Consider the following 27,569-nt stretch of genomic DNA (forward strand, 5'->3'; position numbering starts at 1 on the left):
ATTTTCCACATTAATTGATTTGACTTAGTCATCTCTTGGCAGTAAAGCTATGCAGGGTGAGGTAAAGCCCTTTTCTGGTATACTCTTTCAATTCTTTACAGTACTTCTAGTTTTACAGCTCTTTTGTTACCCTCATTTTCTTACAGCCTTATACTACCTCCACTCCACCTACCTTTATCCCCACTTGGAGAAACTTGAAATCTGTTTCCTGGAATTAAGTTGGAAAACACAAAGTTTCAAAGTGTTGCCCCCCCAAATTGTTGCTCCTACGAACATTAAAGAAAGTTTCTGTATACATTTAGGGACATGCTTGAAGAATTGAGAATGTAATCTTTGTCCATCTCCGTTTCTGGTTTAAGAAACCTGATGCTAGAGCTAATTAATTCCTTAGCATATCATCATTATTTCTACCAAATTTGGTGTAAATAAAGCCCCTGGTAACCTGCTTTGATATGTCAGTATTCCAGAGTAAATGCGGAGATTCCCCTCTCCTACTCTAACTACTTTTACATTACATAAATATGTTTGTATGTTAGCAGAGCAATATATAAACACAAATACCTGTAATATAGATTTCTATAATTGCATTTATATAAATGTAATTACATATATAAATGTGTTCAGAAGAGAAGGTCAGTGAGGTCACTATATAAAAATGAATGGTATTGCTATATTCTAGCAAAGAACCATTGGAAAATTAAATCCAAAAACAATTTAATTTACAACAGCATCCAATATCATAAAATTATCAGAGATAAATTTAGCAAAATTTGATCAAGACTTGTACACTAAAAATTATAAATAAACATTGTTAAGACCAATTAAAGACAACCAACAGATTTCTCATGTTTATGGATTATAAGATCCAATATTGGTAAAATAGCAATTTCCCCAAATTGAGTGAACATAATCCAAAGAAAAAAACTATTTGTAGACATTTGCAAACTAATACGAACATGCAAATGACCTAGAATACCCAAAGCAATTTTTCAAAAGGATAACGAAGTTTAAAGCAATTTTACAAAAGAATAATAAAGTTAAAGGACTTATTTTTAAATAAAAATGTTAGGGAAATTAAGTGGAGAAATGGACATTGACCCTTACCTCATACCATACACAAAAGTTAAGATTTAGCTGAGGCTGAAGGATTGCTTAAACCTAGGAGTTTGTGACCAGCCCTGGCAACCTAGCAAGATCCGGTCTCTAGAAAAAATTTAAGAATTAGCCAGGTGCAGTGCTGTGTGCCTGTAGTCTCAGCTATTCAAGAGGCTAAGGCAAGAGGATTGCTGGAGCCCAGTAGTTTGAGGCTGCAGTGAGCTATGTTGGTGCCACTGCACTCTTACCTGGGCGACGGAGTGAGACCCTGTCTCCCCCGCCAAAAAAAAAAAAAAAAAAAAAAGATTTAGACCTAAATGTAAGAGCTAGGACTGAATCTTTGCAACCTTGGGGCAAGCAAAGATTTCTTGGATAGGACATGAGAAATGTGAGTCATAAAAGAAAAATGTGCAAAATTGGACTTTACCTAAATTTAAAAGTTTTGTTCTTCAAAATACAGTGTTTAGAAAATGGAAAGTGGAGCCATAAAATAGGAGAAAATATCAGTGTACATATACCTGACACCCTTGATCCAAAATAAATAAACCCTTACTACTAATTAACAAGAAGACAACTGAATTTTTTTTGGCTTGAAACAACCACCATTTTATTATGACAACTGAAGTTTTAAAATGGATGAAATATTTGAACAGTTGTTCACAAAAGAAGATGTAAGAGTGGTCACTAAACACGTGAAAAGATGTTCAACACCATTATCAGGAGAACTGCAAATTAAAACCAGAATGAGATACCACTGTGTATTTATTAGTATAACTAAAATTAAAAAGGCTCTCACTGCCAAGTGTTGGCGAGAATATGGAGGAACAGGAACTCTCATGCACAGCCTGGGAGAGTATAAAGTCACCAGTCACTTTGGAAACTGGCAATTTCTTATGAAGCTAAAATTATAAACTTTATAACTCAGCCATTACACACCTATGTGTTTTCCAAAGAGAAATTAAAATATATGTCCACTTAAAGACTTTACATGGACATTTATAGCACTTTTATACATATCAGCCAAAAACTGGAAACAATACAATGTTTATCAGCAGGGAAACAACAAAATGTGGTATCCATACAAAGGAATACTGCTCAGCTATGAAAAGGAGCAAACTATTAACATACTCAACAACATGACGATCTGTAAAACAGGCTGAATGAAAAACCAGACTAGAATACATACTGTTTAATTCCTTATATAACCTATTTAATTACTTATATAAGCTTATGTAAGATTATAGAAAATAGAAACTAAAATAACAGAAAAAAGGCCGGTTGCGGTGGCTTACGCCTGTAATCCCAGCACTTTGGGAGGCTGAGGCGGACGGATCACAAGGTCAGAAGATCGAGACCATCGTGGCTAACACAGTGAAACCCCGTCTCTACTAAAAAATACAAAAAATTAGCCGGGTGTGGTGGCGGGCACCTGTAGTCCCAGCTACTCAGGAGGCTGAGGCAGGAGAATGGCCTGAACCCGGGAGGCGGAGCTTGCAGTGAGCCGAGATCGTGCAGCTGCACTCCAGCCTGGGCGACAGAGCAAGACTCCATCTCAAAAAAAAAAAAAAAAAAAACAGGAAAAAGATCAGTGGTTGCCTGGGACTAGAGTTGAGAGTGAGTTTGCCTGCAAAGGGACACATACAGACTTCCAGAGAGTAATGAAAATGTTCAGTATCTTGATTTTGGTAGTTTTACCAGATGTATATATTTATCAAAATTTACTGAATTGCGGCTGGGCACGGTGGCTCACACCTGTAATCCCAGCACTTTAGGAGGCCGAGGTGGGCGGATCACTTGAGGTCAGGAGTTTGAGACCAGTCTGGCCAACATGGTGAAACCCCATCTCTACTAAAAATACAAAAAATTAGCTGGGCATGGTGGCACACACCTGTAGTCCCAGCTACTCAAGAGTCTGAGGTGGGAGAATCGCTAGAACCCAGGAGGTGGAGGTTGCAGTGAGCCATGACTGTGCCATTGTACTCCAGCCTGGGTGACAGAGTGAGACTCTGTCTCAAAAAAAAAAAAAAAAAAACACAAAATTTATTGAATTGTATATGTTATATAGGTAATAGTTTATTATTTGCCAATTATAGTTTTAGAAAGAGAAGATCAGTAGATGAATAGGAAATGGAATTGAATCTGGAATAAGATAGCAACTAGATGGTAGTGAGTGAGTAGGAAAATGACTAAGAGAATGCTTAGATTGAGCAGAAAATATATGGTAAGAAAAGCCACTAGAATTTTATCGTAGTCTGCTAATTAAGTTATGGTTGTATTTGAGTCAAATACCTAAAAATTAAATGCCTACAATAATGGTACATGAGAAACCACTCCAAAACTTACAGCAACCAAAAATAAGCACTTTAAAAAACTCATGGGCTTGCAAGTATTGGTTGAAATGGCTCTGATTCGTGCTGTAGGTTGGCTGGATGGCTCTAGCATTCAAGTTGAGCTCATCATCTGTGATTGTTTCTGGGTTCAGGCTGAAGGGGTATCAGCCAGGAGCTTCTCCTGGTGTATCACCAGAGCACAAGAACACAAGTTAAACTGTACAGGCACATTTCAAGCCTCTCCTCGTAAGATCGCATTGTCCAAATAAAGTCACTTGGACAAATCCAAAAAAGTTTTATTGTGGGAAGTATAAATAAACATAACCCCAAGGTACTTCTATGTCCCTATCCTCCAGTTTCAACAATTATCTCTATTTTGCAACTCTTGTTTCTTATATTTCTTCCCTCTTCTATTATGCTCAAGGGCACTAATAAATATGGAGCAGCGCCTTAAAACCAACTGCCCTGGGCCAGGTGCGGTGGCTCACGCCCGTAATCCCAGCACTTTGGGAGGCCAAGGTGGGCGGGTCACAAGGTCAGGAGATCGAGACCATCGTGGCTAACACGGAGAAACCCCATCTCTACTAAAAAAATACAAAACATTAGCCGGGCGTGGTGGAGGGCGCCTGTAGTCCCAGCTACTCGGGAGGCTGAGGCAGGAGAATGGCGTGAACCCGGGAGGCGGAGCTTGCAGTGAGCCGAGATCGCGCCACTGCACTCCAGCCTGGGCGACAGAGCAAGACTCTGTCTCAAAAAAAAACACAAAAAACTGCCCTATGGGCGCACATAAGCTAGAGGTGGTTGCTTTGATTCTTGAAAAGTAGTGGGCATTGATTCTCACAGCTAGGAGCTCAGTTTTGGAAGGATGTGGAAGAGCTTCCGTGCCTTTTTCAACATTTGTTGTGACAAATTGCGGCCCCTGCTTTTAGCAGCTGCTTATTTTCTAACATTCCTCAGAACAATGAAAAATTCAGGTAATCGTTCGAGAACTAAGAAATGAAAATATAGCCAGGTTTGCTTTGGCAGTTGGGCCAAACTAATCATTGTTTTTACAACTCTGTTAAAGAGAAAGCATGAGTTTATTTGATTAAATATGGCACAGATTTCTAAGTCTTGAAATAGATGAGAATAAGCAGTTTATAATCAACAAATCAGAAAATGTAAACAATCTGATGTGCAAATGCTAAAAGAATGCTGAGAATTAAGAGAGTCTGGGGAACTAGAGATATAGTGTTTGTGTATTATTTGTGTGCAGCTTGCCATGTTAGGAATACAGATTAGGAATTTGGATACATTGGCTATTAGACATTCATTTCTTGGCACAGTTTTAATCATTGTTTAATCCCTGTGCACACTGGCTACCTTAAGTAGAAGGTACTTTTTTCAAATGTTGTAAAGTGTAAACCATCTCTGACTGGAGAATTGGCATCATCAAGAAAATAATGACCAACATATATTCTGAAATATTCAGTACCTGCTTTTTTACAGAATCCTCTTTTTGAGGGGGCCTGTATTATATTTATCACAGAGTTTAATTTACTGTGATTTAATTAAACTTTATTTTTTTATTTCCCCCGTGAGACTATAAACTCCTCAAGAATAAGGGACTGTGCTCATTGTATCATCAGATAATTCTGCTAGATGCTGTTAAAGATAAAAATATATTAAGTAGCTATTTAGACAATTTGTACTTAATAATCACAGTTTTCTTGGCAGGATGATGAAATGGTTGAGAACATAGGCTCAAGAACCAGATTGCTTGGACTTAAATATTGTCTCTGTTACTTAACTAACTCTGTAACCATAGACAAGCAAGAACTTAATCTTTGTGTACCTCACTTTTGCTATTTGTAAGATAAGAAATGTCGTGAAGATTAAATGATTTAATACATATAGTGCATTTAGAAAAGTACAGTAATATCTCAATAAGTTATTGTTACAGTCATCACTACTACTACTAATAGTACTATCAACATTATTCCAGAAATAAACTTCAAACACTGTTTTAAAATAATATTAAATATGCTGCATTTAATCAGTTGTGATCAAGTCCTGTATTTATGTTGAATTGGCAAGTCAAACAATTTGAACCTACAAATTGTTCCCTCTGCTCTTTTTCCCTGACTCTACTGTTCAATGTCAAACTCATCCATTAATTTCAAGTACACCCTCCTCTAAGAATCCTGTTCCATCCCTTTCCTCCCCTCACCCTCCCAAAATAAGGATAATTGTTTTGTCTCTGTGCTCTTCCTAGCACTTCCTTTAATTTACAAAATATTTCTTCTAGGCTGGGCATGGTTCATGCCTATAATCTCAGCTCTTTGGGAGGTCAATGCAAGAGGGTCAGGAATTCAAGACCAGCCTGGGCAACATAGGGAGACTACATCTCTTTAAAAAAAAAAAAAAAAAAAAGCCTTGGTGTGGTGGCACATGCCTGTGGTACCAGCTACTCAAGAGGCTGAAGTGGGAGGATTGCTTGGGCCCACCTGGGAGTTCGAGGCTGATCGTGTCACTGAACTCCAGCCTGGGTTGACAAAGTGAGACCCTATCTCAAAAAAACAAAAAACAAAAATAATGGCTTCCCTCTAGCCTTAATGCCATTGCTCCACTTTAAGTTGTTAGCTGATATGAGAAGAGTGGTCAAGTAAAGTTGTTTGTGATTTGTTGGAAGATGTTGGAATATGTTTAACACTCAATGGGAAAAACTCATCTGAAAGCACGAGTATGAATTTGAGAAAGACTAATCTTTTTTATCAAGTTTCCCTGAGGACAGGCTTCAGTAAGATCCAAAATATAATTGGAAAGATTCATTTTAGATAGGAAAAGGGACAATATTGCTGTTAAAAGGAGGGAAGGATGATAGAGTTGATGGGTTCAGGACAAGTATTACTATTTAAACAGTATCACTATTTAAAAGGATGAATGATGTATAGGCAGATTTATATGTTTGTGTTATCAGGAAGCTGAGAAACTTTCTAGTCTTTTTGCCTCATCCTCCTCCAATCCATTACCCTCAATGCAACCAGAAGAACCTTTATTATATTCAAATCTGATTGTGTCCTTCTCTAAGAAGTACTTACTTCATGCTTTCAGAAAATATTTCTTGAATGCCTCCTATGTGTTAGGCACTGAGAATATAGTAGTAGAAAAAAGTAGGCAAAGGCCTGGCATGGTGGCTCACACCTGTAATCCCAGCATTTGGGAGGCTGAGGCGGGTGAATCACCTGAGGTCAGGAGTTCGAGACCAACCTGGCCAACATGGTGAAACCGTGTCTCTACTAAATATACAAAAAGTAGCCGGCCATGGTGGCAGGTGCATGTAGTCCCAGCTACTAGGGAGGCTGAGGCGGGAGAGTTGCTTGAACCTGAGAGGCAGAGGTTGCAGTGAGTCAAGATTGCACCACTGCACTCCAGCCTGGGTGACAGAGTGAGACTCCATCTCAAAAAAAAAAAAAAAAAAAAAAAAAAAAGAGTAGGCATAGTGATGTAATTTAGCTCCGAATTAGAGGGACGTGTGTGTTCCTACTAAATTTGCAATGTCACAGAGCCGCCTCTTCTTTCTGCTTACTCTTCTCAGTAGAGAGGAGGGAGAATAAATAAAGATACTCTTTATATAACTGCCCATGGTTTGTTAGTGATACATATCTTTAATGGTCTTCTGATAATAACCTGAATTTACCCAGGGTTGATGTTGGAAGGGCTTCTGTCCTCTTGCTGTTGGTCCTCTCTCTAAACTAGCTCCCTGTAGGTTCAGTTGGCCTAGTGGAAGGTAGATGAACCTGAGTGGTATAGACTACCCTCTACAGTCTCAACTTTGGGGCCTATAGGCACAGGCATGAACTTCTTTCTAGGCATGTTGAAAACCATGAACCAGGTGAGGAAGGGAGAAAGTTGTATTGTCATGCCTACTGAAATGGAACATTTCAACAAGCCAGCAGGGAGAAAGGTAGTCCCAGAGGTCTGTATTTAAAATGCGTCTTCAAGGTCTTTTGTTCATTGCCCTGTGGGCCCTACTTGTCAATTCCAGGAAAACAGAAATTTCACTTGACACCGACACCTCCTACCACCTTAAATTCTGCTTTGTCGGGTAATAATATTGCCTCTCGGAATGATTGAACCTCCAAGGACCACATTTAGCAGGTACAGCCCCCTCTCCAAGTGGATTCACCAGCATCTGTCAACCAGAAAAGCTGGAGAGATCTAAGGTTGTTGCTGTTTCCCTTGCTCTTGGCTCCTCACTCTTCCCTTGTTATTCGGTGGTTACAGAAAATGAAGCATCACTCCTGTTCTCATCTACCTTCAGCTTCCAGTGTACTTGCCTCGTGTCACTACCACCCTTATTTTGACAGTTGTATCACTCCAGTGAGGTGTAGGTAGTAGGCGGAAGAGAAGTTGAGAACTTGTGTTCTGGCTGTCATTTCCACAGAATTCCTAAATAGCCAATTTAAAACAAAGGTTTTCAGAGGAAAGCGTGGGGTGCCATCACTGCCACCAGCACTGCTGTGCCAGAGCCGAGCCCTGCCTCCCCTTCTTCCTGACACCACCGCTCATGTCCTCCAGCCTGTTCCTACAATCTGTTGAAACTTGGTAGAATACTATGAAGTTCTAGGCATGTAGAGACATGCCCACCTGGCTCCCCCCGCTCCAAGGTTATTAAAGAGGCATATTGGAAACTGGCACCAAAGTGGCATCCAGATAAAAATCCTGAGAATAGAGAAGAAACAGAAAATTCCGACAAGTAGCTGAAGCATATGAGATATTATCAGATGCTAAAAAATGGGACATCTGTGACAAATATGGCAGAGAAATTAAATGGTGGAGGAGGAGTTGGAAGTCATTTTGACAGTTCGTTTTAGTTTGGCGTCACATTCCTGTAACCCAGATGATGCCTTCAGGGACATTTTTGGTGGAAGGGACCCATTTTTATTCAACTTCTATGAAAACTCATTTGAGGACTTTTTTGGGGAATCAAAGGGGTTCCTGAAGAAGCAGAAGCTGAGGAACAGTCATTTTTCTCCACCTTGATTGGATTTCCATGTTTTGGAAGTGGATTTTCTTCTTTTGATACACAATTTGCTTCATTCAATCATGAGGTCATGGAGGCCTCACTTCATTTTCCTCCATGTTATTTGGTGGTAGTGCCATGGGCAGCTTCAAATTTGTATCAACTTATACCTAAAATAGTTGATGGCAGAAAATCACTACAAAGAGAATTGTTGAAAAGGGTCAAGAAAGAGTCGAAGTGCTTACCGATAAATGGTGAGGAGCAGCTGCTACCCTTGCATAACAAGTAACTCAACACACTCATTTGAACAGAAATGTTAAACTATAACAAGCACCATTGAGGATTAAGGAACATTTCTTTGAAGATTTCAGATGAATTCGACTTTCTTTTTCATTGTGCCTAATCTAGAGTATTTATAAACAGCTCATTGGAGTCCCTATTTGTCTTAAACTTTTGAATTTATTGATGAGGCCACATAATAGGACCTTTTTTTTAAACTTCAAAATAGTAAATCTCTGTATGCACTTTGCTTTCATTATTAAATATACTCTTAGTTGAACCTTGACTCTTGAGTAGTGGTAGGACAAGATTGTACACTTAACACCAGCATGGATCTGCTTTTCCATTGTGTCTGAAATGTGAGCCAGGTGTAGTGTCAAGTGACGTTAACATTGCCAGCATAAATCTTCCACAGAAATAATTCCTATTTTTTTCTGTCAAGTGAAGTTAACATTGCCAGCATGGCAGCATGAATCTTCCACAGAAATAATTTCTATTTTTTTCTCTATTTAGTAGTGCAAGATATTAATGCATTCGTCGTAATACATTTCTAGTTTAATATAAATAAAGGATGTTTTCTAGTTGTGGATGAATGCTAGCAACTTAGTTTTGACAGTGGTTTAAATTAGTAATGTTAAGCTGAAATTTAAAAACTAAAGTTTGAGAGGGTCGAAAATTTACCTGCTGCGTATAATGCACACTCATTATTCGAGTGATGGGTACACTGACAGTCCAGACTCCACCACTGTGTCATACATGCATGTGAGAAATCTGAACTTGTATTCCCTAAATATATAAAATATTTTTTAAAATTTAAGTAAATCTGGTAAACTGAGTCTTTGTCATTTGTTTTTTAAAAAAAGAAATGCAGGCTGGGCGCGGTGGCTCACGCCTGTAATCCCAGCACTTTGGGAGGCCGAGGTGGGCGGATCACGAGGTCAGGAGATTGAGACCATCCTGGCTAACACGGTGAAACCCCATCTCTACGAAAAATACAAAAAATTAGCCGGGCGAGGTGGCGGGCACCTGTAGTCCCAGCTACTCAAAAGGCTGAGGCAGGAGAATGGCGTGAACCCGGGAGGCGGAGCCTGCAGTGAGCCGAGATCGCGCCACTGCACTCCAACCTGGGCGACAGCGAGACTCCGTCTCAAAAAAAAAAAAAGAAATGCAAATGTGTTTGGTGCAGTCTTTCCTGAGTGGGAAAAAATAGATAAAAGTTTTCATTAGTTGAAGATCTATTTAAAACATAACATATTTCATATATAATTTCCTTGAAATCTCTTGATTTCTAATATTATGTCTTTATAAGACAGGAACTTTAAATGAAAGATCTAAATGTTTAGAGTAGTAAGTTTGCTGATATTTAGTATCCCTCATCTGAGCAACTTAAATAGTATTAAAATATATAGCTTAAATATGTAGTGTTATTTGTTTTTTTCATAATTCTAGACTTGTTTCTTAGAGTAAAAAAGCATAAACAAGTATTGTTGAGAATATTGTTTCATTCTCAAGGTCAGTGCCCTAAGTTTTTAATACATTTTTTGTAATTTTGTAGAAATTATAAATACAGAAAGGAATGCAAATAACAGTTATGCCTTGCTATGAAAATTTATGAAGTGAACACAAATTAAGATATTGAATGTTTTCAGCAGTTCAGAAGCTTCCTTCATGCTTCCTCTGCATCATTATCCTCCCCTTACAAACATACCCACTGTTCTGACTGCCATCATCAATTATTTGTTTTACCAATTTCTGAACTTTATATAAATAAAATCATTTAGTATGTATTCTTTTTTTTTTTTTTTGGAGATGGAGTCTTGCTCTGTCGCCCATGCTGGAGTGCAATGGCACGATCTCGGCTCACTGCAACCTCCGCCTCCCAGGTTCAAGCTATTCTCATGTTTCAGCCTCCCGAGTAGCTGGGATTACAGGCGCCTGCCACCACACCCGGCTAAATTTTTTTGTATTTTTAGTAGAGATGGGATTTCGCCATGTTGGTCAGATGATCCCCCCACCTCGGCCTCCCAAAGTGCTGGGATTACAGGTGTGAGCCACTGCACCCAGCCCTATGTATTCTTTTGAAACTATCTTCTTTTGTTCAGTAATACGGTTTTTTTTTTTTGGAGGGGGGGTTGGGGACAGAGTGTGAGACAGGGTCTCACTCTGTCACCCAGACTAGAGTACAGTGGTGCAATCATGTTTCATTGCAACCTTGAACTCCCAGGCTCAAGCCATCCTCTTACTTTACCCACCTGAGTAGCTGGGACTACAGGCGTGCACTACCAGGCCTGGCTTCTTTTTTAAAAAAATGTTTTTTTGGAGCTAGGGTTTTGCCGTGTCACCCAGGCTCGAATAGCTGGGACTACAAGCATGTACCACCACACCCGGCTAGTTTTTGTATTTTTTTGGTAGAGAAAGGGTTTCACCATGTTGGCCAGGCTAGTCTTGAACTTCTGACCTAAAGTGATCCACCCGCCTCGGCCTCCCAAAGTGCTGGAATTACAGGCGTGAGCCACTGCACTTGGCCTTGATGGACATTTTCAACTTGGGCTATGATGAACAGTTTTATGAACATTTGTTATGTGTCTTTTGATGCACCTATTAGTATACTTTTCCTTTTTTTTATACAACTAGTAGTGGACTTGCTGAGTCATATGGTTTCTGTAAAATGGCAAACATTTTCCAAATTTGAAACCATACATTTTTTAAATGCCAAACCTTTTATCCAAATTTGATGCTACCAGTTTACATTCCCATCAGCACAGCAGTGTTTCAGTGTTCCTTTGCCCCCTACTGTCAGATGCTATTTTGTTTGTTTTGTGTGCCATTCTGCACTGTATATGTGTAGCAGTATCTCATTGGAGTTTTGATTTGCATTTCCCAATAATATTGAACACCTTTACATGTGCTTATTAGCTATTTGGATATTCTCTTTTGTAAATCCTGTATAGATCTTTTGTCTATTTTTTAATTGGATTGTCTTTCTTGTTGATTTGTAGTAGTTATCTCACTCTATGGCTTGCCCTTTTACCTTCTTAATGGTGTCTTTGGTGAAAAGATTGACTTTGCCAATCTTTTTTCTTAATGGTTGTTGCCTTTTGGGCCTTTGTAAGAAATATTTACCTAGTTCTAGGTCATAAAGTTACACTAAAAGGTCGTTTTCCAGAAGACTTATTGCTTCACTTTTTACCTTTGGGTCTATAATCTATATGAAACTTATTCTTTTAAGGACAGGATTTACTTTTCCATATGGATATCATATTGATCTGTCACCAATACTTGAAAACACTCTCATGTTACTGAAACACTGCAGTGAAACTTTTGTTCTGAATCAGGTGATTATATATAGAGAGAGATCTGTTTTTGGATTTTTAAACTCTGTTCCATTGACCACCTTTTTATCTATGCTTTTGTCTAGCTGTGTCTTAATTACTTTAGCTTTATATTAATCTCGATATTAAGCAGTATGCCCTTCTCTCTCTCTCTTTTTTTTTTTTTTTTTTTGAGACAGTGTCTCACTCTTGTTGCCCAGCCTGGAGTGCAATGGCGCAACCTCGGCTCACTGCAACTTCCGCCTCCCAGGTACAAGTGATTCTCCTGCCCCAGCCTCCCGAGTAGCTGGGATTACAGGCACCTGCCAGCACACCCGGCTAATTTTTTGTATTTTTAGTAGAGTCGGGTTTCACCATGTTGGTCAGGCTGGTCTCAAACTCCTGACCTCAGGTGATCCACCCCCCGCTTCAGCCTCCCAAAGTGCTGGGATTACAGGCGTGAGCCACCGCACCCGGGCTTTCTTCGAGTCTTCTATACTATTCTTGGATCTTTCCATTTCCATGTAAAACTTATAATCCCTTAGTCTTTATGGTGACATATTCCTCAACCAGATTTCTGGGAGCGTAGCCTAATGCGTAAACACACTGCTTACAAAGAGCCAAAATAAAACCAAGAACTACAAATTTAAATAGTTTTAATCAGCATAATGCATGAGTGCTGTATGATTTATTTTGTGTATCACAGTCTCACAGAGATTGTTTTTCAACAACCAGATATCTGTTTCTCATACCTCAAAGTTGTCGTCATTATTAAAGAAGTTACAGAATTCCATTCAAGGAAAGTACTGTCTTTGTTTAGGGACATATCTTAATTGGAGTGTATTGTGTTATGAAGATGAGACCCTCTTCATATCACCTGGATGGTCATGGATGAGACAAACATATAGGTCAAATAATTGATATGATGACTTGAGAAATTTTGAGAGTTTTGAGCAAATTCAGTGGGCAGAGGGGAGCTGGGGACTGATGCCTGGCAATATGGTGAGAGACTGGACTTGGAGATGACGGTATAACTTAGGAGTAAAGAGCCTGAGGTCTAGAGCCAGATTGCCTGGCTCAGCCACTTACTAGCCATATGAATTTGGTAAGTTACTTATTCTTTGTATGCTTTATTTTCGTTATTTGTAAAGTATGGATAATATTGCCTACCTTGTAGGGCAGTTTGATGATTAAATTAGTTAATATAGGTAAAATGCTTAGGAATAGTACCTGGCATGTGCAATTAACTAGACTACAGACCTTACTCAGATTTGGTTAATGGTATACTTAATTGCCATATATAGCTAGCTATTATTATAGCTAATAAAAGTTATAATCTGCCCCAGAGAGAACAACCACCAAAAATTATGTTTTTTATATATATATATACATATATGTGTGTGTTTGTGTATATACAGACACATACACATATGTGTTTTTTGAAGAAATGTTCTAAGTGTGATGAAAACTATAAACCCACAGATACAAGAAGTTCAATGAATCCTAAGCACAAGAAACATGAAGATTTCACTAAGACACAATATGAAACTGCTTAAAACTAATGATAAAGGAAAAACTATTAAAATCAGTCAGAAAAATCACAGACAGTGGAGAAACAAAGATGACAGCACACTTCTCTTTGAAAAAAAAATTCAAGACAGAAGACAAGTGGGGCAGCATCCTTTTTTAAATTCTTTAATTTTCAAATTTAGGAATAGCATCTTTAAATTACTGAGACAAAGACACTATCAACCTAGAATGGTATACCCTGAAAAATACATATTTCAAAAATGAAAGCAAAGTGAAGGTTTTCTCAAACATATAAAAAATGGAAGACTTTATCACCAGTTGACTTGTACTACAAGAAATGTCTAAGAAATTTCTTCAGGCAAAAGAAAAATGATACCACATGGAAATTCACAGAACTATACACAAAATGTACCCAAAAAACCCCAACCACAACAAATGAGTGCAGGCAAAATCTGACAAAATCAGGCTGGCCAGGGTGACATGCACCTGTATTCCCAGCATGCTGAGGGTGCTGAGGGTGCTGAGTTTGAGAGGACCACCTGAGCTCAGAGGTTCCGGAACAGCCTGGACAGCAAAGCTGAGACCCCATCTCTTAAAAAAAAAAAAAAAATCTGGCTGGGTGCAGTGGCGTAGTCCCAGCACTTTGAGAGGCCTAGGTGGGCAGATCATGAGGTCAAGAGATCAAGACCATCCTGGCCAACATGGTGAAACCCCATCTCTACTAAAAATACAAAAAATTAGCTGGGCATGGTGGTGGGCGCCTGTAGTCCCAGCTACTGGGGAGGCTGAGGCAGGAGAATTGCTTAAACCCAGGAGGCGGAGGTTGCAGTGAGCTGAGCCCCACTGTACTCCAGCCTGGTGACAGAGTGAGACTCTGTCCAAAAAAAAAAAAAAAAACTGGCAAAATCTGAATAAGGTTTGTAGTCTAGTTAATTGTATTCTCCCAGTGTCATTTTCCCATATAACTCACTGTGGTTATGTAAAATGTTACCTTTGGGAAAACTGGGTGATGGGTACATGGTTCTATCTGTACTGTTATGGGGTTTTCATATTTATTAATAACAGCTATACTGAAATGTAATTCACATACCAAAAAATACATCCTTTTAAGATGTACACCTCAGTGATACTTTAGTATATTTACAGACTTGTGTAACTATCACCACTAATTTTAGAGCATTTTTATCACCCCCCCCCAAAAAAAAATGTCCCGTGCCCATTCACAGTCACTCCCCACACAACCCAGTCCTAGGCAATGGCTTGTCTACTTTTTATTTCCACAGATTTGCCTATTCCAGACATTTCATATGATTGGAATCACACAATATGTAGTCTTTTGTGTCTGATTTTCTTAGCACAATACTTTCAGTGAGTGTTCTTTCATTTTATGGCATGTATCAGTATTTCTTTTTTTTTCATGGCCAAATGTTCCCTAATGGGAATATATGACATTTTATTTATCCATTCACCATTTGAGGGACAGTGGGGTTCTATTTTTGACTGTTATGAATAACACTGCTATGACCATTCATGTACAAGTTGATGTGTGTTTTCAGTTCTTTTGGGTATATGCCTAGGAGTAGATCTGCTGAGTCACATGGTAACTCTATGTGTAACATCTTGAGGAACTGCCAAACTATTTTCAAAGTGTCTGCACAATTTTACATTGCTACCATTATTGTATGAAGGTTCCAATAAATTTCACTATTTCTTATTGCTTGTCTTTTTTGTTTTACCCATCCTAGTGGATATAACTTGATATCTCCTTGTGGTTTTGATTTGCATTTCCCTTAATGACTAATTATGTCAAACATCCTTTCATGTACTTATTGACCATTTGTATACCCTCTTTGGTGAAATGTCTATTCCAGTATTTTGCCTATGTTCTAATTCATTTATTTGCCTTTTTATGGTTGAGTAGTAGGAGTTCTTTATGTAGTCTGGGTTCAAGTCCCTTGAACACATGATTCACATATATTTTCTCCCATTTAGTGGGTTGTCTTTTCACTCTCTTGATGGTATCCTTTGAAGCATGACACTTCTTAATATTGATGAAGTCTGATTTATCTGTTTTTCCTTTTGTCACTTGTGCTTTTAGTGTCATATCTAAGAAATCATTGCCTAACCAAAGGTCACAAAGTTTACTACCATGTTTTCTTCTAAGAGTTTTATAGTTTTAGCTTATACATTTAGGTCCACAATACATTTTTAGTTAATTTTGATATATGAGGTAGGGCTTCATCTTCATACCTTTGTTTGTGGTTATCCAGTTGTCCCAACACCGTTGAAGAGATTATTTTTTCCCATTGAATTGTCATTGCATCCTTGTTAAAAATCATTTGGCCAAGGCAGGAATGGTGACTCATGCCTGTAATTTTAGCACTTTGGGAGGGTGAAGTGGGAGGATTGCTTAAGCCCAGGAGTTCAAGACCAGCCTGGGCAACATAATGAGGCACCATCTCTACAAAAAAATTTTTAAAAAAATTATCCAGGCATGGCAGTGCATACCTGTAGCCCTAGCTACTCAGGAGGCTGAGGCAAGAGGATTGCTTGAGCCCAGGAGGTCGAGGCTGCAGTGAGCCATGGTTGTACCACTGCATTCCAGCCTGGGCAACAGAGCGAGACCCTGTCCTAGAAAAGAAAAAAAAAGATCAATTGACCATAATGTAAGAGTATTATTTCTGGACTCTTTATTTCATTGGTCTATTCTGATGCCAGTACCATACTGCCTTGATTAATGTTGCGTTGTAATAAATTTTGAAAATAGGAAATGTGAGTCTTCCAACTCTGTTCTTCTTTTTAAAGGTTGTTTTTTAATTTTGGGCCCCTTATATTTCCATATAATTTTTATGATCAGCTGGTCAATTTCTGCAAAAATAAGGGAAGAAGGAAAGGAAGCGAGTAAGCAAGCAGCTGGAATTTTGATAAGGATTGCATTAAATTGGTAGATTGATTTGGGGAGTATTGATATCATAACAAAATTGTCTTCCAAACCATGAACATGGAAAACCATAATGCACCCTCCCCCCTGCAAAAAAAGAAGATTTGATACACACAATATGGATGAAACTCATTCTAAAATACACATTGCCTCCAAAGACCAGACAATCTTTAAAGTATGTCAAAGAATTTTCTTAAATTTTTTTAAATCACTTTCTCTGTTCTTAAAAATTAAGAACCCAATAACCCTGATAATTTAGCACTGATTTCTCTCTCTTAAGCTACCACTATTTCCATTAAATCCTCCCTTTTAGTGATCTTCAAATGGCCCTATTGTTAATTGTAATGAGGGGGAAAAAGGCTATCTTTATTCCACTGGCCAGACTTTTTTCTCCTGGTAAATTTTCATTTTGCAGGCAGAGAGGTTTTATCGTAGCAGTTACTTGCAAGTGGGAAGTAGAAATGAAACAAAAAGGGAAGAAAAATGGTAGTATTTAAGGAAGAATGCAGAATCAACGTACACTAAGTAGGAAAAAAATGAAAATGCGTGACCTGGTGACATTTTAAGCATATTTTAAATGAAATGGTTTGGAGGGGAGGACCTGGCTTTGTGTTTCAACATACAGTATTTGAATACACTATTATGTTGGTGCAAAAGTAATTGTGGTTTTTGCCATTACCTTTAATGGTGCCATAATGGCAAAAACCTCAATTACTTTTGCACCAAACTAATAAATTCCTGCAAGTGAGAAGCTGTTCATCTGGTCCTACAGAGCAACTTCAAAATATATTTCAGATATTCCCACCTTTTAAAAAAATATATTATTTATTTTTCAGACAGGATCTTGCTCTGTTGCCCAGGCTGGAGTGCAGTGACATGATCATGGCTAACTGCTACCTCGGCCTCCTGGGTTCAAGCAGTTCTCCTGCCTCAGTCTCCTAAGTAGCTGGGACCACAGGCGCGCGCCACCACACCCAGCCAATTTTTGTATTTTTTGCAGAGACGGGGTTTCACCACGTTGCCCAGGCTGGTCTTGAACTCCTGGGCTCAAGTGATCAACCTGCCTCGGCATCCCAAAGTGCTGGGATTTCAAGCATGAGCCACCGCGCCTGGCCCCACCCTTGTTTGTTTTCAGAAGTAACTATTTTTAATTTATTTTAAAATAGGAAATGAAAGTGGAATAGGGAAGAGGTTACTGACAGTTAAGTCTGTAATCTAGAAACCAGAAAGGAAGTGCCTCTACTGTTTCTACTTTATTCCACCAGAAATCCTGGCATACTTTCAGGAAGAGGAGACAGAGGCAGCCGTTGATAATCTAAGACTTAAGATGGAGGGATTCGCAATTAGGTCCCTGTCTGTTATTTGAGAAGCCCCCACTAATTCATCTACTAGGCCTTTCATAATGTGTAAAATTTTACTCAAGATCAACAAATAAGAAAAGTTCAAAACAAATGTAATTGCCAAAGATAGTTTTTTCGTATCATAACCTGGTATCGGATTTCTTTCGTTATAGAGTGCACGACAGATAATATATTAATGTCATCCTCAAATGATATTTTGAGACGAGGTAAGTAAATAGGAAAGAAAAAGTAGATTTAGCAAGGTTTAAAAAATACCAGTCAAACCAGATGAAAAGGACCTGGTGTGGTAGCAGTATCTAATATAGCCACTCACAGAAGAATTCTTGAACTTCTTTCTGCATTAGTACTTGGAAGTACTGAAAGTAGTAATGTAGAAAGGGTTGCAGTTATCTGTCTCTTAAGAACCTCCATTCGATTACCTTACTTAGTGTTTACAACATGCTTTGTTAAGATTATTGAGATTAACATGCTATGAGCAATATGCCTATTATTACAAGTTATCTCTTATTCAGACATTCTCACCATTTGTAATATTTCTTTCCAGTGAGGAAGACACTGTGTTGTGCTCATTGGGAGCATAGATTCTGGAGTCAGGGAGCTCAAGTTCTAATCCTGGCTCTGCCATTTACTGGTTTTATTACTTTGAGCAAATAATTTAATGTATCTGTGCCTCTATTTTCTCATCTGTAAAATGAGGGTAATAATTTCTACCTTAGAAAGTGGAATCTAAAGTTATGAAGGTTAAGCTAATATATGTAAAGTGTTTACACTAGTGACTTGTACATCATAAGCATTATGTAAGTATATGCTAAATAAATATATACTCTTATTTTCCATATAGATTATAAACTTTTCAAAGTCAATGACTATATCTCCGTGTTGTATAAATTCTCGTATCTGTTGTTAACCATGTACATAGGAAACACTTATTATCAGAGTAACTTTGTAGGAGACAGTGAAATAGAGCCCCAGAATATCTAGAGGTCTGGAATCTACAATGAGAAAAATTTGCAAAAGATTAGTTAGTTTAACCTTTAGGAGGGAGGAAAGTGTTACTCATTAATTTGAAGAGACCAGTTTTGCCTTTTCATTTTATCAAGGAATAAGAAGCTTTCAATTGTTCTTGAGAAAAAAATAAGTTATCTAAATGTTTATAACATAAAAATAACCCTACTGATTCTCTTATTTCTGTTCTGTGGCAAAGAAATCTATTTATGTTGCCTCTGGGAGGATAATAGGAGAGGAAAAATAGAGCCTTGTTTTTCTACCTTGACATACATTCAGTGAGAGTTTTGTAGAGATTTTTCACAGATGGAACTTGAGTTCAGTACTAATACACAAAAATACACATATACCCTATCTCTGACCCCCAGCTTGTGACTTTATTAGAGAAGTTGATATAAATGTTAAATGGAATAATAACAATGCAGATCTTACCTTCTTAGCATTTGGAGTGGTTTACTGTGTAATACTGAATATCCTAAATAATAGGATATGATTGTGTTTTGTGATGCTGTTGTTTTGGCATCAAACCGTATGACACTTCAGTTAATGCTTGTAATGCTAATGGATATATCTGACCCCATAAAAAGATTTTTGTAAAGTCCTTTAAAATCTGTGCTACTGTGGATTGTTACAAGGTGAGATTAAATGCTCTGAATTTAGAACAAAGCCTGAATAAATATGGACGGTAAGTCAACCTAACATAAACAGATACTCATTTTAGGTAAAATTTTTTTTCTGCCTCACATTTATAATCATTTTGAGTTCCCTGGCTCATTTTTATTTGATTCGTGTAAATTTTTTACTTGGAAGCGAATTTATATTGGGAGTGAGTAGTCCAAGAAAAACCTCATAACTTTGTAATTTTTGAGTTAAAATGTGAAAACTAAAGAAATGACCAAAGTGAATGTACAAATAGTTGCAGAACTAGACCATTTTATTTTGAAAGATTCATGTTCTTCAATGCCTTCTTGTTACAGGTGATGCTGAACAGGAGCTTGGCCCCCCTCCATCTGTAGATGAGGCAGCAAACACACTCATGACTCGTCTGGGTTTCCTCCTTGGAGAGAAAGTCACAGAAGTTCAGCCAGGTGACCAATACAGCATGGAAGTACAGGATGAAAATCAGGTAAGCTGTTTGCTATCACCTTTGTGAAACATGGTGTGAATCAGCTTATTATGCCAGAAATAATCCCAATTGTTGAATGCCTTTTGAGGCCTAGAATACAACTTAACTTTCCATAATCACTATTATTTCTTCAGTTTATGAATAATCTTTTAGCTTTAGTCTTAGATTTAACAACCCAAAAAGCCACTTTTAGGTTTTGATTGATTTAATGAATGAACGAGCAAGCCAACAAATAAAATTGACACGTATATAAGCACTGCACCCCAAATTTGCAGAATATACATTCTTTTCAAGTGCATGTGGATTATTTACCGAATTGGTTATATGCTGAGCCATAGAGCAGGTCTTGACAAATTTCCAAAGATTCCAGTTACTGTGACCACAGTGGAATTTATCAATTACAAAATGATAATTTAGAAAGTGGGATCTAAAAGATTACTTGGATCATTAGTTCAGATTTTCTACTTTTCTGAAATACACATTTAAAACTAATATTTCTTTTTAAGCACATCTTTAGCTATATCCTACAAGTTTTTTTATACTTAGTTTTTATTCCAATTTAAAATATTTTCTCATTTTTTTGTGATTTCCTCTTGGACTCAAAGGCTACTTAGAAGTGTATTACTCAATATCTAAATATTTGGGGATTTTCTAAGTATCCGTCTCAGAAAGTTAAAAAAATCTACAATTTAAAAAATATTTTATAGTTTTCTTTCTTTTTGCTATTTTCATTTTTTTCAGTTTAAATGTAGCAAAAAAAAGTACTAGAGTCAGATTCATTTGTATGATCTTAATCTTCAGCGTGAATGTCTGATAGTGAAGCATTTTATTCAGGAGATGACAAATTAATTTTAAATTGCATATTTTATTAATAAATATTAGTGAAGAGTCTATATCACATACTACTTTTGTTACAATGAGATATACAAGGATTATTTGAATATATTTATATATTGTGTGGATAAGTTCAGATGTTCCAGGGTGCTGTCCTCAAGCCTCACTCCTTAGGTTATTGGTTTTGCTAGCTGCACATTATTTAAATACTATCTTAACTCCCAAATTATCTCTAGCCCTGCCTTTTCCCCTTTACTTGAAATTTGTATATTTAGCTTCCCACATTATATTTTCTACCTAATGTTTAAAATGTATCTCAAACTTAACATGTCAGATTTCTCCCTAGAACCTGTGCCTTCTGCAGTGTTTCCCATATGAGTAAATGGTATCACCTACTTGCTTAGGACAAAAGCATTGGAGCCATTTGACTTCCATCAGACCCACGTTCACTCTTTCAGCAAATCGTAGACCCTGTCTTCAAAATATGTACTCAATCTGATCCCTTCTCACTATTCCCACTGCTATACCCAAGTCCAAGCCACTGTCATCTTTTGCCTGTGCTACTGCAATAGGTACTAGAATGTAAGGCTGGAAGGCTGGGATTTTTGCCTATTCTACCCGTTGCCGTATCCTCTGCCCCTAGAACATTACTGTCATTACTAGGTGCACAGTAGGTATTTATTATATGAATAAATGGTCTCCTAATAGGTCTCTGTGTCCACTCTTGCCCCCCTGTAGTCTGTTCACACAGTAACCAGAGTGATCCTTGTAAAATATGAATCCAGTTCTGTCACTTTGCTTGTAATCTTCTACTGTATTCCCATCATACTTAAAATAAAATCTAAAATCTTTACTGTGGCCCAGAAGGCTACACCTGATCTAGCCACTTGCTACCTCTCCTACATCACTTCCTACCCCTCTCCCTTTCACGCACGGCTCTCCAGCTACATTGGCCTCCTTGTCGTTCGCCAGTCACATCAGCTATATTCATTTTTACTGGAATGTTCTTCCCCCATAACTCACTTCCTCACTTATTCAGTGTTCTGCCTAAATGTTACCTCCTCAGAGAGGTCTTACTTAATTCCTCTTCTAATAATTGCACCTGCCCATCCATATACCCCTATGCTTCTACTTTATTTTTTCATAGCTCTTACCATTAACTGATATTACATTACATGTTTAGTTGTGGGGTTGTTTTACCTTATGACAAGAATGTGTGTTTCATGATGTCAGATCTGATGATTTTTTAAATCAATTTACATTGTAACTATGTCAATATGCTGTGCTGCTCTGTGAATAAAAAATGGGAACAATATTGTTGAGGGATTTTTTAAAATTGGGAGCAATAAAACATCTATTTCACCTTTCATTTCTTGATATTCATGTCAAGTTAAAATGTGACTGTTATAGTAATGACCAGGTAACTTGATGTCATATCTTATAACCCGAATATTTTTCAAGGACTCTGTCATTTCTACACAGCTACATTTCCTTGGATGATAAAATTTGTACTTGTTGTTCTTGAGATTCCGCATGTCACAGTGATTTCTGCATAAAGTCACAAGTCTATGGAGTGCACCTTACTTGTACATTACTGAATAACATAATCTTAAGTAAATGAGTAGTATCATTGATTTAATTAAAGCAATATGGTGTAATAGAAAAGCCATTGAACCAGGAGGGAGAAAATTTGTGTTCTAGTTCCAACTCTGCCACCTACCATTTTGTAAATTTGGATGTGTCACTTAACCTCTCTGAGCTTTATATTTTTCATAGGTAATAATAACTGACATTTATTAAATACCTACTGTGTACCAATTATTGTACTAATTGTTTTACTTGCACTGTTTTGTTTAAGCTTCTTCACAACCCAGTGTAGTAGAGTTCATTCATATTCCAATTTTCAAATAAGATATGGAAACACACTGCCAGAAAGTGATGGAATGGTATTCATATCCAGGCAGTCTGCTTTTATAATCTATGCTCTTAACAGCCACACCATACTGTTCCAGTGTAATGTGAAATAATAACACCTGACAGGGTTGTTGAAAGGATCAAGTTAAATCATGAATATGAAAGTACTTTGTAAGCTGTAAAATGTCATATAAATAAAAAGTATAAAATAATATGCAGTATAGTTAGTATATAAATATATGCAGGAACTGTGTGATTTGGGGGAAATTACATCATAGCTTTCGTACTTTCATTGGTTTCATTTTCACATTTCTTAAGTGGGGGAAATAACATACATTATGCCTCTCATACCAGGTTGATAAGGAGTAAATGAGATAATATATAAAAATATTTTTAAATTGTTAAGCTTTATACAAATTTAAAATATTAATAATGAAGCTAAATGATAGCCTTCTTGCAGTATAATATACACTGGAACTATCTTGGAACCACACAAGAAAGTGGCTAAATTGATCATTTGAATTTCTGGTCTCAGGAAGATTATGAAGAAGTAGGAGGTCATGTTAATTTGGTGACTTTTTTCTGAGCTAAACAGTGTATTAACAAAGATAAACTGCTATGCTTAGGCAGATCATGTAGTGATGATATTCTCAAAATAGTAATGACAGAATCTAATGCAAGTCAGCGTACATCATTTTTCTGCAAAAAAAACAAAGCATGAAAGTGATATTCACCTGACCCCTTTATTCTTTCAGTAGTTTCCAAGGTATTCAAATGGACCTTATGAATTTCCTCTTTAGCTTCTTATGTTGTGTATTTGTAGGACCTTTAAGAGATCCAGATTGGGAGCTTTCTTAGGATCCTTCTGGAGAACATTAAGGGCAATGGGAAAAACACTGAAAGGTTTAGGAAGTGCAGTGGCTTAAATAGACGTCCATTTTAGCCTACAGCATGAAGAATAAATAGTTGTCTTTCTCTAGCTCATTAACTAGTCTCCTTAAGTAAATATGAGGCCTGCCTTTTAAGTCATAAGCCATGAACAATTTTCTGTTTTCTAAATGGCTTGATATTTAAGCTTTGCGTTTACAGTTAAAGCTTTTAAGATACACATTCTCTGATATGTGCTTTATTTTGCACAAAATAACTTAGAGTAAAAATAAGTAAGTGCTGTTTGGGCTTAACCTCCACATTGTCTATATTATGCATATAATATGATTTTCTTTCACAAAGAACAGAATGAGAATCTTAGAACAGAAATGAGTTGTTATAAAAGTAATAGATTCCTATCATAATAAAACTTTTCTTCTTTTTTTTTTCTTTTTTTTTGAGACAGAGTCTCACTCTGTTGCCCAGGCGGTAGTGCAGTGGCACGATCTTGGCTCACTGCAACCTCTACCTCCTGGGTTCAATGATTCTCATGCCTCAGCCTCCTGAGTAGCTGGGAGTAGAGGCATGCACCACCACACCCAGCTAATTTTTGTATTTTTAATAGAGATGGCATTTTGCCATGTTGGCCAGGCTGGTCTCAAACTCCTGGCCTCAAGCAATCCGCCTGCCTCAAGCCTCCCAAAGTGCTGGGATTACAGACATAGGCCACCATGCTGGGCCTAAAACTTTTGCAATATGGAATGACTATAGCTATATCTAATGTAAAAGACCTGAGTACAGTTCATCTACTCACATGTGTCTCAGACTGGGAGTGGGAGGTTAAAAATCGTTTGCCACATTTCTAACCTGAAGGATTCCAATTCCAATTCAATAAGTCTGGAGTGGGGGCTCAGTATCTGTCAATTTTGTAAGAGAGCTTGCATGTTTGTTTTTTCCATGTCACAAGTGATATTACTGTGTGCCTAGTTAGGAATAATTGCTCTGTAAGGGAAAAAAGATTTTAAGGTTAAAAAAAAAAAAATCATTGCTCTGGTAGACCAGCATCATATTATAAAAATAGAGATTTTAAAAAATTGAAACTCTCCTCTTCTCTGGAGAGATAACATATAGTAGAAGAGAAATTTGGATACGTTTGAGAGCTTACTGTGTTGTTAAGAAAAATTAGATTCTAATATTATTGATATGATTGAAAAGATTTACTTGGTTGGAGGGTAATGAGAATGTCACTTGTTTTTGGTTGAGTCAAATTTATCTTTTGTAACCTGGTTATAGTATTTAAATTAAAATCAAAACCTAGATTCAACAGAGATGATTAAACACAAGGGACTGCATCTAGGAATCATCTTAGGATGAGTCGAAGAGCCTTAATATTCTCATAGCTAGTTATCAACACATTCTCCAGTTATTAAATTTTAGCAGAAAGAGTATGAATAGAGACTCTATTTGTAAAGAAGTTGAAAGGCTTCTTTTAAATTTAACATTTAAAGATGTTAAATTTATCATTAGTGCGTCTTCAAGTAATTTTGCTGCTGATCACTTAATAATTTTAAAAACGATAAAATGTTGGCCGGGTGTAGTGGCTCACACCTGTAATCCCAGCACTTTGGGAGGCTGAGGTGGGAAGTACACATTCAGGAGTTCAAGACCAGCTTGGCCAAGACAGTGAAACCCCGTCTCTACTAAAACTATAAAAATTAGCCAGGCGTGATATTTGGCGGCTGTAATCCCAGCTACTCGGAAGGCTGAGGCAGGAGAATCACTTGAACCTGGGCAGCAGAGGTTGCAGTGAGTTGAGATTGTGCCATTGCACTCCAGCCTGAACGACACAGTGAAACTCCATCTCAAAAAAAAAAAAAAGGATAAAATGTTTTTAGTGTTTGAAAAAATATACTTTTATTCACTATTGTAGTAATTTATTTGTGTAGAAAGAGTTGAAGAAAAGTGAATTGTCATTAAATTAGGTAAATCAGAATATATTACCACCAACCTTTTTAGTAATTATTCATTCCTTCACATCAAAACTTAAAAAGTAAATAGCTTCAAGTGTAAGAATCATTCAGGATACAAAGTGATCTCAGGCTGTAATGCTGTTACAGAGAAGTTATTTAGGTTTGTATTAAACTAATATTAATTCTGTTTTATTAGACAAACTTTTAGAATAAGGCATTTTTCTCTGCATTCATGTATTGTCTCTGGACAGCTGCCTATGTATCGAAAAGACACTTCCTTGCATTAAGAACTTTATTTCTTCCCAGCTGTAGAGATTTTTTTTTTCCCTTCCATCTAAAGAAAATTATTGGCTGGGTCCAGTGGCTCATGCCTGTAATCCCAGCACTTTGGGAGGTTGAGGCGGGTGGATCACCTGAGGTCAGGAGTTCGAGACCACCCTGGCCAACATGGTGAAACCCCATCTCTACTAAAAATACAAAACTAGCCAGGTGTGATGGCGCATGCCTATAATCCCAGCTATTTGGGAGGCTGAGGCAGGAGAATCGCTTGAACCTGGGAGGTGGAGGTTACAGTGAGCCAAGATTGTGCCATTGCACTCCAGCCTGGGCAACAAGAATGAAACTCTGTCTCAAAAAAAAAAAAAAAAAAAAAGAAAGAAAGAAAGAAAATTATTAACAAGGCAAAGTTCCAGGTCTTCCAAAAAGTTTTATTGATTGCAAGGAAAACTTGCAATAGCAGGGAGAACTTGTGCTTAATAAAAAATTTCTCTATTCTATTAATGAATGGCAGTGATAGGGTACTTGTCACTGGAAATTTTGTAGGCAGAAAAACTGGCAACAGTCTCTGTTAATGTTAAGTTCATCAAGTTTCACATTAATTTGTAGACCCCAAAGTCCTTATCCGAGAAAGCAAAAACAAATAGAGCCTAATAGATGTAAAAGCTATGCATGTAGTTTTTTTTTTCATCAAAGCATTTATTTTATCTTAAAATATACTTTAACAGCTGATCAGGTTATCTTACTTATTCATGATTCCAATTTTTCAGACCTCAGCAATCACCCAGCGGATAAGTCCTTGTTCCACTCTGACTAGCAGCACTGCCTCTCCACCAGCCAGTAGCCCCTGCTCTACACTCCCACCCATCAGTACAAATGCAACTGCCAAGGACTGCAGCTATGGGGCTGTTACTAGTCCAACCTCTACCCTTGAAAGCAGAGATAGTGGCATCATTGGTGAGTTGGTTTTTATATTGATAATTTTGTGTCCTTTTTTTCCTTTTTAAAATAATTACACAAGCTTAAGGTTTTTAAAAATTCTGCTTTTGAATTGTTGAGATGTATATATAAAACTTTCCTGGTCTTTTTAATGATGCTGGAGAGAGAAACCTAAGGGTAAACAAAATGAAAGGTATTCCTCCCTACTTAACCACTCCTTATCAGGATATTCCCTGATAAGAAGGAGTGGATTTAAAAAAAAAACTTCTGTCCACTTCTTCCTGTAAATGCACGTACATCAACTATCTACCAACAGAAGTAGTTCAGAAAAAGTTCATTCCTTACTGGTATAGTCGAGAGTTTTATGAAAGAAAGGTGAGATTAGATTAAGTGGCGAAAGAGTTATGATTTGAGTTGTTCTGGGTCTATTTGTGCAAACCATATATTAGTTATTTAATTAGTTTTGGGAGCCCCTTTAGACTTTGTTTTTCTTCTTGTCAATAAGACAGCCCTGTTTTTTACCTTCTGCAAAGTAGAAAAATGGTATTTCTTTGCTTATGATTTGAAACCTTATACGAATACATTTTTATGGCAAGCTTGGGCATAAAGAGAACTTGAAACTTAGAAGTATTCAAGCAAAGAAATTTTCCATTTAATTTTCCCCTCGTGAATTTTCTTATACCTTTTTTTTTTTTTTTTACCAAAGATCCTAGTTGACTACTTAGTCCTAGAAATATTTCTAAATAATCTTCAACCCAATTAGCAGTTTGCAGCAGAAACTAAAAC

The 27,569-nt window shown here is 37.3% G+C and overlaps 1 protein-coding gene and 1 pseudogene across 21 annotated transcripts in view, besides 1 other annotated feature; both read left to right on the plus strand.

The window, feature by feature from the left end:
* Positions 1-27,569, plus strand: part of TANC2 (tetratricopeptide repeat, ankyrin repeat and coiled-coil containing 2) — a 461,469-nt gene that overhangs the window by 207,922 nt on the left and 225,978 nt on the right. For all 21 annotated transcript variants that reach the window (XM_011524597.3, NM_001394998.1, XM_006721810.4 and 18 more), the window contains 2 exons: positions 19,835-19,983; positions 26,615-26,801. In XM_011524597.3, the coding sequence (XP_011522899.1) occupies positions 19,835-19,983; positions 26,615-26,801 (336 nt within the window). The remainder of the gene's footprint in view (positions 1-19,834; positions 19,984-26,614; positions 26,802-27,569) is intronic.
* Positions 7,643-8,842: an enhancer, noted in NCBI's record as "MED14-independent group 3 enhancer chr17:61259160-61260359 (GRCh37/hg19 assembly coordinates)". NCBI's record gives its function as "activates an origin of replication core promoter dependent on BRD2, BRD4, P300/CBP and CDK7 cofactors, and independent of MED14, by STARR-seq in HCT116 cells {active_cell/tissue: HCT116}" and the evidence as "EXISTENCE:reporter gene assay evidence [ECO:0000049][PMID:35650434]".
* DNAJB6P8 (DNAJB6 pseudogene 8) lies at positions 8,010-8,661 on the plus strand (annotated as a pseudogene).

Source organism: Homo sapiens, chromosome 17 (assembly GCF_000001405.40).
Source record: "Homo sapiens chromosome 17, GRCh38.p14 Primary Assembly".
Lineage (NCBI taxonomy): Eukaryota > Metazoa > Chordata > Mammalia > Primates > Hominidae > Homo > Homo sapiens.